The sequence below is a fragment of the Homo sapiens genome, chromosome 13, assembly GCF_000001405.40.
Source record: "Homo sapiens chromosome 13, GRCh38.p14 Primary Assembly".
In the NCBI taxonomy this organism is placed as follows: Eukaryota; Metazoa; Chordata; class Mammalia; order Primates; family Hominidae; genus Homo; species Homo sapiens.
In genome coordinates, this window is record NC_000013.11 from 101097927 (window position 1) to 101118907 (window position 20981).

General features: G+C 38.4%; 1 protein-coding gene across 10 annotated transcripts in view; it reads right to left on the reverse strand.

The window, feature by feature from the left end:
* Positions 1–20981, reverse strand: part of NALCN (sodium leak channel, non-selective) — a 363404-nt gene that overhangs the window by 44151 nt on the left and 298272 nt on the right. For 8 of the 10 annotated variants that reach the window (XM_011521069.3, XM_011521067.3, NM_001350751.2 and 5 more), the window contains 9 exons: positions 13199–13300; positions 12693–12762; positions 9772–9863; positions 9561–9683; positions 6968–7024; positions 6604–6724; positions 6369–6500; positions 5246–5413; positions 2858–2962 (listed from right to left, as the gene is read on the reverse strand). In XM_011521069.3, the coding sequence (XP_011519371.1) occupies positions 2858–2962; positions 5246–5413; positions 6369–6500; positions 6604–6724; positions 6968–7024; positions 9561–9683; positions 9772–9863; positions 12693–12762; positions 13199–13300 (970 nt within the window). Of the gene's footprint in view, positions 1–2857; positions 2963–5245; positions 5414–6368; positions 6501–6603; positions 6725–6967; positions 7025–9560; positions 9684–9771; positions 9864–12692; positions 12763–13198; positions 13301–18993; positions 19081–20981 lie in introns of all 10 variants that reach the window. The other 2 variants (XM_024449336.2, NM_001350748.2) reach the window with 1 other exon arrangement.

Consider the following 20981-nt stretch of genomic DNA (forward strand, 5'->3'; position numbering starts at 1 on the left):
TATCATTGTGTGAGAAGCATTCAAGGCAGAAATAGGTTCCAGAAGGATTAAGTGACCAGACCAGGCCATCACCTCTCCTGAAGTAGGATTCCAATCTCAGAAGCTGTGATTTCGAAGCCCATGCTCCTTCCTCCTTGTTCGGTCCCTGCCTCTACACTGTGACCCTTCTTTGTATGCTCCGTGTCCTTCTTCACTGCTTGCTCTCCTTGGAAGGTCCTTTCCTGCTCATCTCAAATCCCACCTCCTCCCTGAAGCCCTCCCAGTACAGTACTCCCAGTTGGAAGCACAATTTCCCATGCTGACATCATAGATTACATGTTATTTCTGCTTCTCATAGGCTTTTGAAAACTGCTGACTTTATATTACTGTTGCTTGAACATGAAACACGTTCTGATTGGACAGAAAATGCCACAAAACAGAAGCAAGGACCTCCTAATGTTTCCCTTCCACATTTCATTTCACCTATCACAGTGCCTTGGACACAACTGACATTTAATGACTATTTGTCAAAAGGTATCCTCAGCGTTTGTTTACAGGGTTTTGGTGACAAAGTCCTAGGCTCCATATCTATATCTATATTGATCTCATGACATCTGTTGAGTTTTAAGACAACAAACAAAGGAGCAGAGGGAGGAAGTGCTCAGCCTCATACAAGAAAACACATCTTCCCAACTGGAAACTATGGGCGCAGCAACTGAAGCTTCGTTGTCTTTAACAGGAACTGTGTGTGATCTAAATGTTGGTGTATCTACTTTCCCCCTTTCTTTGGATTTATCTCTTCTTTTAGTAAGATGGGCTGAAGTTCTCCAACAGAACTTCAGCCGACGTCACCTTCACTCATGGCGTTTTTGGCCTCGGCCTCGGCCTCTTATGTTTGGATTTGAGAAGACAAAAAGACTCAAGCCCCGTCTCACCGTGCCAATTTCTTTTCAATCGTTCTGCTTGGTGCTGGTGCTCTCTATGATGGCTGAGTCTCCTTAGGCTTTCCATCTGAGCCTCGCACAGACCTCACTGCTCTAGGAAACAGGATAAATGCATCATGAAATCTGTGTCTATGCTCATCTGCTGGCTGCTGTCACCATCAATCTTCAGCTTTGGCTGGGTATGAGTGGATAATGTAAAATCACCATGCTCTTAGGCCACTGTTAATATACTGAGTCATCCAAGATTCCTAGCAGGCTTCATCCTGAAGTGTTATTATCTTTCTGGCCTCTGTTCAGTGTGGATCAAAAATCACTCTTCTTTCCACACACAAGCTTGTGGATGAATGCGTCAGGTCTCTGTCACTTTCTTTATCAGCTAATTTGATACGGCATGACCGTCAGGCCACATTCCTTGTTCTGTCTTCTCAGGTGTATCAAAGCTCTTGGAATGTCTCTCCCAGTCTGGCCTTTGTTTCAAATTCTCATTATTAATATAATTTATAATGTATTTTGGCTGAACAAAGATGTTACCTGTATTTTGTCACAATTAGAGAACAATTTGTATCATTTAAAATCTATACTAGATAGCCATATTTGCTAGAAATAAATAATGTAGTTCAGGTCTAGTAGGCCTTTTGAAGATATACATTTAGGAACTGAGGCATCATTTTATTGGGATCAAAGAGAAAATGCTTTTCTAGTTTATACATCAGCAGTGGTTGGTTTACTTTATGAATTTACTTGTAACATAAGAATCCTAAGAGAATGGGACACTTTATGATATTACAAAAATTGTCTAATTATTAACCAAACTGTGTCCCCCTTTTATTTTTCTGGAGCACACAACTAAATTCCAGCCCCCCTTGCAGTATCTCTGCTCTTTACAGAGGAATGTGGGTGGAGCAGATTCTCCCACAGCCCACTCAGTTGGAGATGGCTCTCCACTGTTATCTCCAGCTCATTGAAGAAGGCTCTGAAGACATGGCAAAGGGTGGCGGCATAGGATAGAAGGCATGTGAGTCCCTGAGTGGTCATTTGGAGGAGAGCTGTATATAGTGTATATATTGCAAATGTATATATTGCAACTGATCCAAGATGCAATATATACATTTCATTATGTGAAGCTACCGAAATATTGGGCTTGTTACAGCAGCTAGCCTTCCCTTATAACCAATGACTGAAGAAAGAGAAAGAAACGCCGTAGTGCAAGTATTCAAGTTTGGGTCTTTGTGGAGGTCCTTGTTGGTTGTCATAAAGAGGGAGATTCTGGGCAGCTAGAGCTAATGTAAAGGCACTGGCTTTCTAATGGGGAGAAAGCTGAGAGTGGGGAAGCAATAAAAAGTGGTGAGAACCAAACGCTGCTTCTTGGACATTTTTGCATGGGGCTGTTTGCTGATATGAGTCTTATGTGACAACAAAGGAAGGATCAAGTTAGCTAAGACCTCAAGGGAAAGTATCCAAAGCTTACAGCTGTAAACAGCTGGAATCTTGGGTGACCACACTCAAGTTGTCAACAGTGGGTTGACACTGGAATAGGAGGGAAGAGTGACATTCTCTGAGGTGTGCTTTTCATCTTATTAACCTTTCTAGCCAGAAGAGACATATCACATGCTTAAGCAAAAAGGGGTTTGTGGGAAGAGAATTCTTAGGGTTTTATAGGGAGTTCTTAAACTAGGCTTGTCAGCCACTGGTACCACATGCTTGCCAAGGGAGTGTAAACACCTTATTATTATTTTGTTTTCTTTTTAGGGACAGGGCTCTCGCTCTGTTGCCCAGGTTGGAGTACAGTGGTGAGATCATAGCTCACTGCAACCTTGACCTCCAGTTTCAAGTAATCTTCCCTCCTTGGCATTCCAAAGTGCTAGGATTGTAGGCACATGCCACCACACTTGGCCCTTAATTTTTATTTCAAAAGACAGAAAGATACATCTTACCCTTCTAATAATGTTGGGATCATTGCACTTGGCCAGTTTTCCAGCAAAAAGCTGAACTCCAAAGCTTGCAAAAACGAGCATTAATGTCAGCAAAAGAATGGAGACCTGAAAGAAATTGATGAAATGTTAAATCTCTTGTTAAAGACTAAATATTAGGTTTGGTTTAAACAGTGACATAAATAGGACTTCTAAGATAACATTGTATAAAAATCATGGGTTTTTGATGATATATTTTAACTTCTCCACCATAGGTCACACAATTAGCCTTACTGGAAGGTCAAAAGGAGAAAATTAACAAGCTTTGAATTTTTTAAATGGAAACATGAATTTCATGTAAGAAAATGGAATAAGGTATTTTTGATATGGCTTGAACTTTTCTGACTTTAAAATCAACACCTTGATCTTTTTTATTTAATGGAACAAAGGAAAAAAATGTTTAAGTAATTATATTTTGTCTATTTTTTCCCAAATGGACATATATATATTTATTTTTTTTTCTTTTTTTTTTTTTTTTTGAGATGGAGTGCCACTCTGTCCCCCAGGGTGGAGTGCAATGGTGCAATCTCAGCTCACTGCAACCTCCACCTCCTGGGTTCAAGCAATTCTACTGCCTCAGCCTCCCGAGTAGCTGGGACTACAGGCACACGCCACCAAGCCCAGCTAATTTTTGTATTTTTAGTAGAGACAGGGTTTCATCATATTGGTCAGGCTGGTCTTGAACTCCTGACCTCAGGCAATCCACCCGCCTGGGCCTCTCAAAGTGCTGGGATTACAGGCGTGAGCCACTATGCCTGGCCTGGATTCATATTTTTATTAGCAGAGCACAAATGAGCGGGACAGTGGCTTAGCTGTCTTGTAACTGTGAAGGTGTGCGTTAGGAGAATGTTCTATGCATAGAGGAGAGGAGAGAATTCAGTCCTGAAGAGCAAATCTGTTAATTAACTCATGCTCCCTCTGCTGGCTGACTTCTTTGGTCTCAGCAGAGACGAGTGGCAGAGGGCAAAATATGGAACAAGTGAACTGCACTGGTTGAATAACCTAAACATATACCTAAGTGTACTAAAATCACACTGACCACCATTAGGGAAAGGCACAAATTCTCCTCTAAAATTTATTATTGATCAAAAGATTCATATACATTAGCAGTCAGGTGATATTTTCTTTTAATTCCAGCTGTGTGAAGAGTCACTGTTTTATGGCTTTGCATAAAGAAAACAAGAATTTTTAAACCCATCTTAAAAAAGAAATTCAGCAACTGGGAGGCTGAGGTGGGTGGATCTCCTGAGGTCAGGAGTTCAAGGGCAGCATGGGTAACATGGTGCAGCCCCGTGTCTACTAAAATACAAAAAATTAACTGGGAGTGGTGGCACATGCGTGTAGTCTCAGCTACTTGGGAGGCTGAGGCATGAGAATCTCTTGAACCCAGTAGGTGGAAGTTGCAGTGAGCTGAGATTGCGCCATTGCACTCCAGCCTGGGCGACAGAGCAAGATTCTGTCTCAAAAAAAAAGAAAAAAAAAGTCAGTAATGATATATATACCTCTAGTAACATCACAATCTATCTTTAAAATACATTTGTGTCAACTACAACTACAGCTGTTTTCTCATCACAGGTAAGTCTCTAGAAAGCAAGATACAAAACAAGCCTATGTAAATTAATTCATGCTTCTCATGCACAAGCAGACCTCATCAATAATAAAAAAAACTTTTGATCACTGTTTTGTAAGGCAAAGATCTTTCTGTAACAGATTGTGAACAATGAGCCTCTTTCTTGTTGTTTTATCTCTGACCTTGTTTTCAGAAGACCCTAAATCAATGTTTGCCCAGCTAGAAAGTACGTTTTGCCCCCTCAATCATCTTTGTAATCACTCATTACTGTAATGCTGAAGTTAATTGAAGTGGGTTATACCTATATGTTGCATTTTTAAAGTTGTTTTATGTTAACACTCCTGAGATCTAAAGACAAATTCTGTGCTATATTATTTCAGGAACACACAGAATGAGATTAGGAGCCCAAAAGCATGAATTCCTAATCCCATTTGTGGAGTACACAGTGTTGAATCTTCTTATCCTTCATTTTCAGATGGGAGGAAACTAAAACCCAGAGTAGGAATTAGAGTCAAGAGGTTAGTACCGAAAGAGTCAGCAGATAGGAACTCTTTCAAATCTCAGAGTGCTTCTCTTTAGGTGAATTAAATAAACTCATACGCCAGAAGTGCCCATGAGTAAAGTGTTTGAAGGTGCATTGTGTTTTGTTAGTGCCTCCATTACCCTCTGGCAATAACCAAAACTATTGAATTGACCTCAATAAGCAAGACTCACTTTTCCCTCATTAGCTGCATTAGAGGTGGACTACTGTGAACTGGAATCAAAGGATAATTCTCACATACCAAAAAAATTTCCTTGAAGCCGCTGAAAAGTTCTCGAACAACTTTCCTCATCTGGGGCACCAGTTTGAATATGCGCAGAGGTCTCAGGCACCGAAGGACCATTAGAAGCTGAGCTCCCGATTCAGCAGGTACATTTTGAGGCATCCAACAAAGAAATATCAAGCTCACCTAAAGGGGAACAAATGATCTCTGGAATTTATACAATTCATCCCCTACTATTTACATTTTCTGACAGCCGACTGGCCACAACTTTTCATTTAGCAGAGATTCCACTCACTGGTTGTACGTGCCATCTGTTAACTTTAAACAACAAACCTCATCTAGACTTGCTAGGTACCTCAAAGGAAAGTCATCATGTGTATGCAGGAAAGAAATGGGGGTGTCCACACCGTGTGTGTGTGTGTGTGTACACCAGTGCGTTCTGCCTCTTCTTTTAACTTACTACTCTGGAGGCTCCACTGATGTCGATCTGGCTGGAATTCCTTTTATCAAGGTTACTGCTATTTTATTAATGACCTGCAACATGCTACTTGTTAATGATCACAATTCTCCTTGTTGTCTCTGCAAAGACATTGATTTCATGCCTCCTTGGACATACAGGAAAAATAAAAAATTCTCTGAGCCCATTTCTATGGTTTTCCAGCGAGTTTTACTAGACAGTTGAATGGGCAACTGCTATAGCCAGGTATTTTATGCAATGGAATCAGGAGAGAGATACAATCACAATCACTTTAGTTTGCTTTCAGCAATAAGGGGCTCATAATCAATAACATGGTTTATATGAGGCAAACTTTTTTTTTTTAGTATAGAAGCCATAAGGTTTGTGGGATGCAAACTAGATTTGCCATGTTAGACCTTATTAATGTATGTCTCATTCATACATAAAATTGTGATTAGTGTATTTGAACAATATAACTATCCATAGATATTTATGATGCTCTTAATTTAGATTTTACATGCATGGCCCTTATTTGCATATAATGAACTACTCTAGAGTCCATTTAAGAATTCGGTTAGGGAATCTAAGCCTCTGTAACTCATACCTCTTGCGCTTATACCAAGAAATGCAGGAGATTTTACAAAACCATTACATTTTTCATTTAGGCAATAAGCAAAGACTTACAAGATATATAAATATGTCCATTACTCCACCGAAGTCCCTGATGACAGCAGTTGGAGTGAAAAATAAGCCATCTGCCATAATCTTCAGATTAAGCTCAATGCTCATGAATATCACAAACACATACTCAGCAATCTGAAACGGGCAAAAGGCAGTTTGGTTACAATGAACGGAAAAACAGCAGGTCAGTATTTTACCTCCTAGTTGTAAGCTGAGATTTTGCAGCGGTAAGCGGTACCTGCAAAGTAGGTGCATGCATGACTCTTCGAAACGGGGACTCAAACATCATGGAAATGCAAGAGCAGATGGTTACGATGATCATGACCCAGTCCAGGTAAGTGACCAATCCCAGCAAATCACTGCCAAAGACCAAACAAAATTGAGAAACATAAAGGTTCCAGGAAAGGCTTCTAAGAGTTAGAGATGATGGCTTCTGTGGCTCTATCAACATGACTGGTATTTTAAAAACATCATTCCCCAATCATCTATTTCATAGCACTATATAGCAAGAAAATAAAAGAGAATTTTAATCGTTGTATGCAGCATAAAATAGTACATGAAAACTTTAAATGTGCATGGAAAATGAAGTTGGTGATGCTTACTAAAGTTGATGGTACTTTGTATTTTTCACAGCTCCTGTGACAGGGTCTGTTTTAGATCTGTAAGAGAACACATATATAAAATTCTGCAACAAAGCAAGCATGTTTTAACTTGCTAAAAATCATATTTGCAAACATCTCATCTACCTAAAATCTCTTTTACAGCCTCTCTACAATGTCCATTATAAAATATGTTAACTGTAGGTAACTCTGGAGGTCAGAGAACATTGATGAAAGAAAAAATCCAAAGAATTTGCAGTTGATGCTTATGAAAATAAAGTTTTATATTTCTCAAAATACTTGATTTTAGACTTTGTGACTTTGTTCAGAATTTTCTGACATGGGTAGTACAAAATTAAGTTTTGACTTTCATTTAAAAACACTCATTTGAAATCTTTGCCTTAATAGTTCAAGAATGTTAGTTATTCAAGATTATTTAATTAAATACTCCATAATTTAAATAGACTTCTTCCCCCTGCATTTAACTGTGATGTGGTAGAATGATTTATTTAGAATTTCTTGGAAGGGAGAGTCGTTGTTTCTACTTTCAGGAAGCCTGTGAGCACTGTCAATGAGATTGCTTACAGTCTTTGTGTATGTGTCCCCAATTACAACAGAGTCTTCATCAATTGTATTCAACATCAGCTGCCTTGCTGATAAAAGGGAAATTACATCACACTAAGTGAAGTGGAGAATTAACCATGAGATGTTAAGGTACAGGCAGCCAACAGGATAATTCAAGATAAAAAAAACGTACTTCAAGAACTGATCAAATCAATCTCCAAAATGGCATTTTCTTCCTTTACTTTGAAAACTCATGGAAGATTTTAATAATTGTGACTCAGTTGCTTTAAATTGTGAAAGTCTTTATAGAACAGCAGAAAGAACAATAGTCTGGCAATCAAGAGAGAGCCAGGTAGTAGCTGGGTCCCTGAGCAAAGCCCTCAACTTCTGCACGCTTAAATGTCCTCCTCTGTTGAAGGAGGGGGCACACAAATGACACCGAGTGGTCCCTGAGGTCTCTTCCATCCCTGAAATGTTATAATAGTGTGTATTAGTTTCCTCGAGCTGCTGTAACAAAGTACCACTGGTGCTTAAGACTGGATGGCTCAAGCAACATAAGTTTATTTTCTCATAGTTTTGGAGGCTGGAAATCCAAGATCAAGATGCCAGCTGAGTTGGTTCTTTCTGAGGGCTGTGAGGGAAAACCCTGTTCCAGGGCTGTCTCCTTGACTTGTGGAGAGCCGTCTTCTCCCTACGTGTCTTCGCAAGGTCTTCTCTCTGTATATGTCTGTGTCCAAATGTTCTCTTAAGGAAACCAATCATATTAGATTAGGGCCCACCCTAATGATCTCATTTTAATTAACCTGTTTAAAATTCCTATTTCCAAATACAGTCACATTCTGAGGTTCTGAGGGTTTGGACTCTACCGTATGGATTTTGTGGAGGGGGAACAATTCAGTCCATAACAGATAGTGATTATCATATGCTACTAATTAATAACAAAGAAATCAATTTACTTAAACGATGGCATCAGGGACACTCCAACTACATAATGGGAACATGGAAAGTTTTCTCATTTCCTCCATGACTCTTAATGTCTTCAGAATATTTACTTAAAGGTACTGATAGGGTTTGGCTCTGCGTCCCTACCCAAATCTCATCTTGAATGGTAGCTCCCATAATTCCCACATGTTGTAGGAGGGACCCAGTCAGAGATAATTGAATCATGGGGGCGGTTCCCCCATACTGTTCTTGTGGTGGTGAATAAGTCTCATGAGATCTGATGATTTTATGAGGGGTTTCTGCTTTCACTTCCCTCTCTTGTCTGCTGCCATGTAAGATGTGCCTTTTGCCTTCCACCATGATTGAAAGGCTTCCCCAGCCACTTGGAACTGTGAATCCAATAAATCTCTTTTTCTTTATAAATTACCCAGTCTCAGGTATGTCTTTATCAGTGGCATGAAAATGGACTCATACAGGTATGCTTGACAAAAATCCATTTCATCCATTTGTTGCCTGTCAAACTTGGCTTAGGTGTCCACAACTAGTGTCTTCAATGTCCACTCTACTTACGGCTTCTTACACATTTCTTCCATGTTGGTAGGGTAGAGACAGTGAACAGTGGGTTTCCTTCTTATAACAGTTGGTAATGAAAGCACTAATCAACTTTACGTTATTCTCCAAAAAACAAATTGAGGTATTTTTACCACAAAGGAACTACAAGCCTCATGGAAGACATGGACAATGACCTTCCTTTCACCATGTCCTTTAGTCTCCTTTTGTCTCAGTACTTCCAAAATAAAATATGGAGTTAATAATGCCGATATAAGTGTATCAGGAAACTGTTAAAATGCACAAACGAAAATGGCTGTTTTGTGTTTTATCAATGCGAGTTTTCTATAAATGTTAACTACTTGCGACCTTTGTTTTCCACCTGGTCGGGTGTTCAGCAAAGAGGAGCAGCATGATTAATTAGTCCGCAGTTTATTTTGTGACCCCATTAGGATTACACGTTCCTTCTTCTTCATATGACAACACCCCTGCTGTTTGCATGGCTCAGGCCAAACACCTGGCTGAAATGAAGTGTACTTACGCGTTGAAGCGTGCTCGGACCACCACCCGGCAAAAGTTTCTGAACCTGTGTTCTCGCCCGACAATGAACAGTGGCTTATCGAAGTATGGGTGGTTCTCTCTGAGTTCCTCTTCTTGCACTTTCCTTGAAGGAGAAATTCATGGGAGAATGAGGCTAAGGGAAATTTTGCCATTCCCGAATGAGAGCCATGGGACACTGCAGCAACCTGTACCTTTTCATCTCTGCTTGCTCCTTTTTTTCCTGAATCATCTTTATTTCACTGTCTTCTCTTTGTGCATTTCTATATCTCACTGTATTGGAATGCTAGAAATAAATTAACAGGGGGTGTGTTAAAACAGGAGGGTTTTGAATGCAAAATATATTATCAGTTAAAAAACTTAAAACTAATATCTCCCTCAATATAAAGTATAAATATTAATTACATATATTTACTGTTAAACATATATTTATATATTTATATTAAATGTATATTTTACAATGTATATTTATACTAAATGTATATATTTACAACAAATATGTATATTTACACTAAATGTATATATTTACATTAAATATGTATATTTATACTAAGTATATATTTACAATAAATATATATCTATATGAAATGTATATATTTATAATTATGTATATTTATACTAAAGGTATATATTTACATTAAATATGTAATTTAAAGTAAATGTATATACTTACATTAAATATATAAATTTACAGTATATAAAATATGTATACGATTAAATGTACATATTTAATGGCCACAGTCTTCATAGCAAGAGTATTTGTTCCTCTAAAAAGTAATTCATTCAGCACATATTGATTGAAATCCTATTATGTGCCAGGCACTATTCTAGTGTGCAGGATATGGCAAGTGGAAACAAAACATCCTTATTCTCATAGGATGTTCTAGTCAGTGGGAGACAGATAAAAAATAATTCAAAATAAGTATGTAAGAGGATGCTTAGTGATCCGATTTTTTAAAAAATCACAATGGGTGAAAGGCATAGAGAGACATAGACAGGCTAGAAGATTATGATTTTAAATGAACAGGTCAGGGTAGACCTCAATATGAAGGTGCTATTTGAGGAAAGACTAGAAGGAGGTGAGGGTGCAGGCTGTGGTAGGACTACAGAAATGTGTTCTTCCAGAGCTAGGAGCAGGCCTGGCGTGTCTACATGTGGAATAGCCAGGATGCCAGTGTGGGTAAAGCTAAGAGAGGTGAGCAGGCCATGCAGGCCCTTCACAGCCCTTTAGATGGACCCCATGGAAGGTGCAAGGCCAGAGTTCCAGTAACTCAGTAGATTTTACAGAAAGCACTCCTTAGACTTAATTATCTGTGTCTGCTATCATTCAGAATAAGTGAAAAAGTTAAAATTCTCTAATTTAAATCTCCCCTTTGTGGGAGAAAAGACATTATAAGAATTTATTGGAAATGATCAGAACCCCATGGCATTTTGCTATGGAGAAGGTGGGAGATGGATTTTACTATACTTCTACATGAAAAATAGGGTAGGAAGTCTCTGAAGAAGTAAGCTCCGGCACTGAGACTATTCAAATAGGGCCTTTGCTGTCTATGTTTAAACACATTATTTTCAAAGACATGTTCTGATTTGATTCTTAAGTAGGTTGTACATTTCGGTTGAAACATATTGAAGGCGCTTTGAATGAGGGTTGCCTCTTTGACTTTTCACCTGAAAATGTTCTCCGTGCAATATGGCTGACTCTGCAGTTCTAAGTTGCGCAGGCCATATGTTGGATTTGATGGCAATTCTATGTCAACAATATGGTAGCCAATCAGATAGAGCTATGGATATTAAAAATCATGGTGGTAAACAGAGCTCTGTGCCAACTAGAACCATGTCTATAGGGTATTGGTGATATCAGGTGTTCTCATTGCCAACTTCTCGCTCTTGATTTTGCCCGGAACACTTAATAAAAACCATGTACTTGGACTAAAACAGCAGTTTCTACAGAATGAAAGCAGATGTAGTAGGCAAGCACTCCAAAAGCTCAAGAAATAAGAGATAAGTGGTGAAAAAGAGAAAAACGAAATAACCCCAAGGCTTTGCTAACTTTCTCTTGCTAGCCCTCCTTTCTCAAGTGCCATCCTTGGCTCTGAACATTCAAGATTACTTTTTAAGCCAGTTCATCCAGATTCAACCTAACGCCTGTCTTTTTACCAGGGCTTCATAATTACGGTTATTTAATATGCATTTCCCAAACCTTTCATTGTAATCTTTGCATGGTATAGCTGCTGGGCCATATAACGCTTGGCTTCTCTGCATTTTTTTCATGTCTCCTTCATTTCATTTGGGTCTCCGGGATAATGCAGATGGGTCTACGATAACCATCGTATCTAAAATTCCCTGCCCCCAAATCCCCACCTTTGATTTATTTACATGACTTCATTTTACTTTACATTATAAAGCAAATCTGTCACAGTAATGAAGAGATGATGGAAAATAAAAAGAAATCACTCCAGAAATTCCATTATATTTTTATGAACTTATTATCTGTCTCCTATTCTAAAATTTAAGCTCCAGGAGGGCACTGAGTCTATCTTATTACCCCACTGCTCCTCGTTCCTTAAAACAGAACCCAGCACAGAGCAAACACTTGATAACTATTTATAGAGCCAGTAAATAAATCCATGACTTAGAGTCTAAAAGCAAAAAGCTTTCCTGGGAAATACTAGGTAGTCCTTGACAGGAAAATTCTTCTAGAAATAAAATTTCACTTCCTAATATATAAAGCCCTGAAATTATAGACCCTTGATCTAGATTCTAGAATATTCGATTCTCAGTGAATATTCAAAGTCAATGATGCAAATCAATCCTATATACAATGCTTAAAATGTCTTTAATTTCAAGTCAAATCCAACTGATAATGACACTTTTGTGTTACTATTTTAACTAAGACATGTGCTTTGTGTGGGATGACTGGAGTTTTCTGCTGTTAACAGTTACTTCTGATACTTGGCTACATAATTCATATCCTGAGTTTCCTGATTCCCTCTGGTATGAAGTCTTAAGGAGACATGGGAATGCAGCAGAAAGACACTGGGCATTGTCTAAGCAGTCATTTAAATACATTTTCATAATCACGTTTCTGAAATCCAAAGCATTGCTTAAAACTTACATCTTGAGTCAAAGTTTCAAGAGATTTTCCCCTGCTGATCCTCTGGCTGTTTGATCCATGTCTTAGTGACCTAAAACAACCACAGGCACTGGTTAATACATCTCAAGATCAAACTGGCCTTTCAAGCAGTGACCATGATAAAATCAAAATAAAACACTTTTTCTGCTACAACGCCACAAATGCCTATGATTTCTTTTCATAGCAGAAGCTTATACTCTCTCCAAATGTCTTTGATCCCATCTAACAAAATTCAGAATTTTTCCTTCTGATCTTAAAGGTGAGAATTTGGCCATCTCTAAGGAAAAGGATTGTGAAGTAGAGATTTTTTTGAATCTTTGGATCTGATTAGGTGTTTCATTATTGTAACAAACAGCAAATAGAACGCGATTCCTCAGCCATGCCTGTCTGGCAGCCAGGGCTGACAGCCGTGACTGTGTACAGCGACCATTTCCTGTAAAACCCCCCTTTTTTAGAGTCTCTGAAGCCCTGTCTTCCCAAGTATTTACCTGCGCTCTTGGCGGATATGATGCTGCACGCTGAGGATTGACCTCTCCTTTGCGGGCTGCCCCTCAAATGATCCGCTCAGCATGCGCTGTCGGGTGCAAGCTCTAGGAAAAAAAAAGGAGCCCAAGATAAATGCATGGTTTGTACACTTGAGATGAATAACACATAAGTGCTCATTACTTTTATTATTTTAAAGGCAACACCAATGAAAACACAAAATACAGCAAATAACGTATAATTATAAAGGAAAATGAACTTTACGCTCTGCGTCAAGAACACTTACAAAGCAGAAGTATCACAGCTATGAAGAAGGGCTGGAAAATAAACAGAAAGCTCCCCTCTTGCCCCTCCTCCTTCTGCCTCCTCCCTCCTTTCCAAAAATAATGGTAGAGCTTCTATCAGGACACCATAAGCAGAAGGCCAGCCTACCCACAGTGATATGGTTTGGCTTTGTCCCCACCCAAATCTCATCTTGAATTCCCATGTGTCGTGGGAGGGACCCGGTGGGAGGTAATTGAATCATGGGGGCAGGTCTTTCTTGTGCTTTTCTCGTGATTGTGAATTAGTCTCATAAGATCTGATGGTTTTAAAAAGGGGAGTTTCCCTGTACAAGCTCTCTTCTCTTGTCTGCTGCCATATAAGACGTGCCTTTCACCGTCTGCTATGATTGTGAGGCCTCTCCAGCCACGTGGAACTGTAAGTTCACTAAACCTCTTTCTTTCGTAAATTGCCCAGTCTCAGGTATGTCTTTACTAGCAGCATGAAAACAGATTAATACACACAGGCAATCATGATGTCGGTTTTGAATTTAAACAAGGTTTCTAATAAACCCCCTTTGGGAAGGATTTGTCCACTCAGGCTCCTGGAATGATTAAATATATGTTCCAAGGAGATTTTGTAGAACTTTAGGAAGATAGGAAAACATAAGCTTACAAGCAAAAATGAGTCATAAAGAGAAGTAACTAAAGCTGGAATTATGCACAACAATGTAAACATACTTAACACGACTGAACTGTACACTTAGAAATGGTTTAGATGGTAAATGTTATGTGTTGTTTTTAAAACCACAGTTCAAAAAAAAAAAAAAAGCACACAGTTTTTGGAATTATTACCTACAGAAACCTCAATCTGAAGCTTGCAGCTTACTGGTAACCAGTTACCACTTGTTTAAACCACGAAGACTTTTAAAAACATGTTCTTTTTGGACAATAACTGGACTTGTGTTAATTTCTGATTTGCTAATGAGTGAAGACAATTGGGTGGCCTAACACCTGTGGTGTGAATGATTTTGGTGAGAAAAAAAAATTATTCTCCAGAAAATTTTCTCCAACTGGGAATGACAGGAATTCCCTTGAGATAGTTGATAAGTGGCAAGAAAATAACACAAGGGATTAAAAGACCTGTGTGCCAGAAGTTACACTGTTATGAAGTAGTTGAGTGATCTTTGGGCCTAACTTCCTCATTGGTAAAATGAAGAGAAAGCCTTGCTCTGAAAGATAGCTCACAGGTTGAAAATGCAATGATTTTATGATATGCAAATCTAATGATACTCTATTTGCTCAACACCTGAACACACAATTCTGCCATTTTTTACATATTATTTTCACATTTATGTTTCTTAAAATGCATTTCTTGAATGGCTTTGAATATGATTACCATCTGTCTGAGAATTAAGATCTTTGAGAAAAAGATTTGTATGTGCTTAGCGCACTTAAAATAGCAGCTCTTATGATACATGTATAATAGAAGCATTTTTAAGTATTTAAATATAACACATATATTACAGAAGAACTTATATAATACATCATATAAGAACTTATTATATAGTAATACATTATATAAGAACTTACTAAATATGTCATATTTAAGTCCTTAAAAATGTTTTTAATGTGGATGAAGATAATTATGGTGAATATCTATGAAAAATCATACAAATTCACTGAATGTAAATGTATTCTTGGAAACAAACCCTAAATAATCACTATTTTTCATTTACTAAACAGCATGAAGCAACTTTTCTACAGATATATAAATATGTCTAACGAGAACATTCTGAAAAATCTTATTCCATTATACAAGGAGACCACTGGCCACACACAGGTTCCTGGTGAATGAGGGAAGGACCGCAGATGGAAGTTATAAACCTGAGGTTGGACGGTGGATGCAGGAGCAAGGCAATGGGAAGGAAGTTTTATGACCCTTTGGCCTAGAGCTCACCTGGACATTGAGACAGGTATAGAAAGATTCCCATGATAGGACGTTTCTGCATAATGAAACAGCCTTGTACAGCCTAAGCCATTGTCACATTTGTTGGTCATGTAAGAAATTTTGCTATTTTGGAAAATAACAGTGTTGGCAGAAAGCTATGAACTTCAGTTGGACACAATCAGACCTGCTAAGAGGTTACATATACTCTAATCCAATGTGCCCAGGTTCATACAAAAGCATGGTAAAAGTTTGCTTTATTATTTTTTAAAGGGAATACAATGTTACTATAGATAAGCATATACAGTAAGGCAAACCATGAAATAAATACCAAATAGTGTTTTAACATGCACAGTATAATGACAGACTGATATAAATGGGCTCTGAAAAGTAACATGAAATGAGAAATGAATATTTCACCTATGTGAAAGCACAAAAAAAGACTTGTTTTATACTCCATGTTCCTACAGTATGTTATTAACCAAGCTTGTTTAACGCTCATGGCATTTTGTTATCATTAGTTATTCCCCTTACTAGGCTGTGAGTTGATTAGGGACCACTTTATCACTCAGCCTCCCATTCCTAGGAAGTTCAGTTTCTGGCCCTCATGCTGCCTGATGAACAGAATGAGTAAGTGAAAAGGTGGGGAGGGGTGAGTAGGGAGGGTAGCGGCAGGTGCGTGGGGACTGTGTGACCCCATCCCTAACTTGCTAGCCTCTCATGGTTCAAAGAAGTGCACCCTGCAGTGCAGCTGCTGATGGAAAGTTCTGCCTTTGTCTGGAAGCCTAATGGAGAAGATGAGTTGAGAAAACATAAGCTTTAAAAGCACACACTTCTGACTTCAGCTTTTATAAGCTGTGGGACCTTAGACAGGTGATGTGCTTTCTCTAAGCCTCCATTTCCCATATGTAAAATGCAGAGAACAATAATGCCTTTCCTTCTGACTTCACAGGGAGCTGGAAGAAGTAAAGATGATTATGAATGTGACAGTGCTTTGGAAACATCAACGCTTTCTTTGAATTTTAGTTGCTATTATTTCCTGTTGTATCTTTTCCCGCGTCATGGTGGATGTTATAACACTCTACATAGCATATTCATTCTCTCTCTCTCTCTCTCTCTCTCTCTCGCTGACTTGCTCTTCCCATCTTGCTTGCTTGCCCTGGTGAAGCAAGCTGCATATTGTGAGGTGCTCTACGGAGAGTTCCACTTGGGGAGGAATCCAGCAAACCGGATGGAACTGAGGCCTTCATATCACAGCTCACGAGGAACTGAATCCACTAACAACCATGCGATTGAGTGGGGCTCTTCCCATTCAAGTCCAAATGCATGCAGCTTGGAGAGAGACATGACTAAGGGATGCCCAGATTCCTGACTAAAACTGTGAGATGAAAAACGTGTTGTTTAAATCACTTAAGTTTTGGAGTAATTTGTCCTGCAGCAATAGATCACGAATGCGGTTATTATCACTGCCTTAAAAAGACTAAGCCTAACGAGCAGCATGGCTTGCACAGCCCCGTTTAGTGTCCCTCTAACCTCCCTTTCTGGTCTCATCTTTACCAGGAGGAACCTCGTTCTCTCCATGCCATTTTCTTTGTTCTTTTAGTTCGTCACATATGCCATGCTCCAAAGAGCTCTAAGAGAGTAGGGTTTTCTTTAAAATTGGTCATGATTATTTCTCAGCTCTTATCCACAGTAGGTGCTCAATAAATATTTGTGGAATGAATGAACCTTGAAATTCCGTGAAGATCAAATATTTTCTTTTCTGATCACTCCCTGCTTTTGAAGCATGAAAATAATCACGGACAAAACAGCATGTGTTTAAAATATACTTTTAAAGGGGCAAGTTAAATAATCTTAATTTTATCTCAAGTTAGAATATGATGCCACTCAAGAATAATGGGCTGCATACCTACACTAGAAGAGACAGTAATGAAAAAAAAAAGACATTGCTTCTTACGACTAAAAACTTCATACATCTTTCTCTATGTTGTATGTGAAAGCTATTAGGGAAGCCTGAAAGCCAAGAGGGAGCAGAGCAGGCTGTAGCAGGTGAACTTAGTTCAATTTCTTTAACTGGAGATCAGATCTGTTGCTGGGAACATAGTCTCCATATACCTCCTCTTACAGGAATCTAATACTTGCAAGCCGAAATAGTGAGTAACTACAAAATTTGAGACTTCCAATATTTTATATAAGAAATGAGATGCATACATCCTTAAAGTTACGAAGTAACAGACCTACCCAGAAGGAGAAGAACTTGAATATTCCATTTTGTTATATTTTGCCACTTTACATTTTTCATTAGTATTGAGATGCCTTTTGGTCTCATGTAAGGACAAAGGAGGTGCATTTTCAGAAAGAAAATGCTCATTTATTTGCTTCCCAGAGTAAAGGCAAGGCTAATTTTACTGGAAGAATACTGTGATCTTCAGGGACAGTCTCACTTTTCTTAGAGGAAAGACTGGGTAGTGTCAGGTACCAAGGTTTTTAACATCTTCCCTAGATCTTTTCACAATGGCAAGTACTAGAAGGCCAGTTTCTTAGGAACTCCATCTAGTGGCTTCATATAAAAAACTGGCCTGCCTCCTCAGCTTCTGCAACTGGGAGGCACAAGACTTCAAGTGTCTGGTGAAAAATAATGAAGTCTTTTGTCTTGTCTGGGTGAGGAAATTCTTCATTATGCAGGCATATGTAATCCCTTTATTCCTGTTCCCTGGAGGAGAATTACAGTGAGGCATTTTCCTTTTCCCAGTTGGGGTTAATGTTATGCCCTCTCTACCTTTGAAAGTAAAACAAGATGAGGACCCCTGAGGATGATTCAAATGTGGGAATATTCTTCAGCAAACACACATTCCCAGTTGCAAAAATATTACCCCTGGTTTCTTGCCAAGCCTTTGAGAAAAAATAATATGAAAGATTGATCCTTTTTTTTCCCCCTGCATTGCCTTTGTGCTGTGGAATTTCAATTGCTCCTTATATGACAGCCATATATATATATATATATATAATCTTTTATGGACGTTGGGGAAAGAGAATCATGTCTTGAAATTGTCTCTATTTTTCTTGACATTTCTCCATCTAAAATATTTTAAAATTGGCCCAAAGATTATGGTTATAAGAGAGATCTTTGGAGCTTTATTAGCCTTTAAACACCACTAGTTGTTTATAGACACAGTAGCAGGGGGTCCCCGGTTCTTTTCTTCTTTGTCTCCATGTCTTCTTTCTTAATGTCCCAGAACAAGGGTGTGGAAAAAGCCTATACATTCTGTAATGAAAGGGAGAGGCCTATGAGTCTTCAAATTATTTTCACTCATTATAGAAAAGTTAGATTACACAATACCGTCTGGTATTAAACGTAATTACCATCTAAAGGAACTGCAGTATAACTTTGCAGAGCATTACATTTGAGGGATTTTGCTCAAATCTTGAACTCCACAAGTAATTCATTTAAAAGTATTATCCAAGGTTGGTTAATGTAATGTAATCACATTAGCAGACAACAGGAAAATAGTCTTTCAGTGGTAATTATGTAAAACTATGACTGTATAACTAAGAGAATAGATAATGAGTATTTCCTGGAAATGGCTCTTACCTGACTCCACTAGAGTGACAATGTGATCTTCCCAAGTAGAGACAACAGCGGATGCTAATGGGTGAGCTCGTCGGTAATGGCCTCTTGCTGAGATGAGGAAAAAGCTGCATTTTTATCCTAGTGGATACCCCACTCCTTTGTGAGTCAGCCCTATCCTGAGTAAATGGATCTGGCTCTTTCATAGCAACTGCCAGTTAGTTCTTCCCAATCTTGTGTTATTCATAAAAATGTTTTCATAGAAAGGCATGTAAATACATGGGCGACCAGAACTTCATTGTAGGCAGAAAATAAAATAAACCTTGAATGTCTTTATCTTACGCACTTATACCCATACTATAAACAAAAAAGAAAAATTAACTCATGAGAAATCCATGCCTTTCGTGCATCTATTAAATTTCAGCATAAAAAATGTCTGCAACCCCGCATCATTCACTGGGCTTCAAATTTAGTAACCCAACTACTGACTCCGAAACATGCAAATTACAATGCAAAGGCTGAACTTTTTACTACAATAAAAGTGAAATTTTGTAAATGCTGCAGGAACTGCATTGGCCAATTTTCAACAGATATGTATTCCATTTTTCTTTACTACTTTACTCTCCAGTGACAAAATAACAAAAGAAAGACCTTGTTAAGATATCTTTCCATCTCCATGGTTCTATCTTTCCCAGAATGCCATATAGTTAGAATCATACAGTATGTAGACTTTTCAGACTGACTTCTTTTACTCAGTAACAGGCATTTATGTTTACACCATGTCTTTCCATGATGATATCTAATTTCCTTTCCATGCTGAATAATTATTCCACTGTCTGGATGTACCACAGTTTGCTTATCCATTCTCCTACTGAAGGACATCTTGGTTGCTTCCAAGTTTTGGCAATTAGGAATAAAGCTGCCATCAACATCAATGCATGTCTATGGAGACACATATCTATGTATTTCTATGTGCATTTCTATGTCTGTGGAAACAGTAAAAAGATCATTGGTTGCCAGGGTTTGTGGGGAGGGAGGAATGAATAGGTGGAGCACAGAGGATTTTTAGAGCACTCAAATTACTCTGTATGATGTTATAATGATAGATACACATCATCACATATTTGTTCAAACCCATAGACTATAGTACTCTAGGAGTGAACCCTAGTGTCAGCTACAGACTTGGCGTGATAGTGATGTGTCAGTGTAGGTTCATCAATTGTAACAAATGTACCACTCTGATGGGGATGTTGATAGTTGGGGAGACTGTGCCTGTGTGGGGGCAGAAGGTACATGGGAAATCTCTGTACCTTTGCTCCATTTTGCCGCAAACCTAAAACTGCTCAAAAAATAGTCTATTAAAAAAAACTTCCCACATCTGTTTGGTAAAACTCAATAGTAGCCCTTCTAATCCATAACACTATTATAATCACTTTTGGGCTTAACTAAAAACAATCTATAAATCATATGCTATCTCAATAAAATATAACATATTTTGATTACCGCAAATCAGGTACTATCTAAAAATGTGATTAGAATATATTATTTTTGTTTTAGTTATATTTTGCCACTTTTAAATCTTTACTATTTTATGTTTTATGCAAAAACATATATCTACACATCTTGTCTCCTTAGTTTATGGTTGTCTGAATACAGTTAATTTTCATCTATCTACTTAGCTTATTTCCAAATAGTCTTTCAACTAACTTATCAGAGTTTTTAAGTGTCAGGAAAATCTTAAGAAAAAGCCAACAATAACCAGGCAGACTTCATAGAATTGCAAAGATAAATATTTATGACATTCATTCTCATACTCTATTTTCTTAAAACTTGGGGTTATTCATACCAAATGCTAAGAAAAAAATTGCTGCTATCTCAGGGGTTGGCACAAACCCTAGGCTGCAAGGGTCTCTGTCGTTTCTTTCTCTCATCTGTAGGGTCAGTCCAGCACCTTCCCTTTCCACTGAGGAGCTGAGCTCAAAGGTCCAGGGGACGCTGTAAGGTACTCAGGC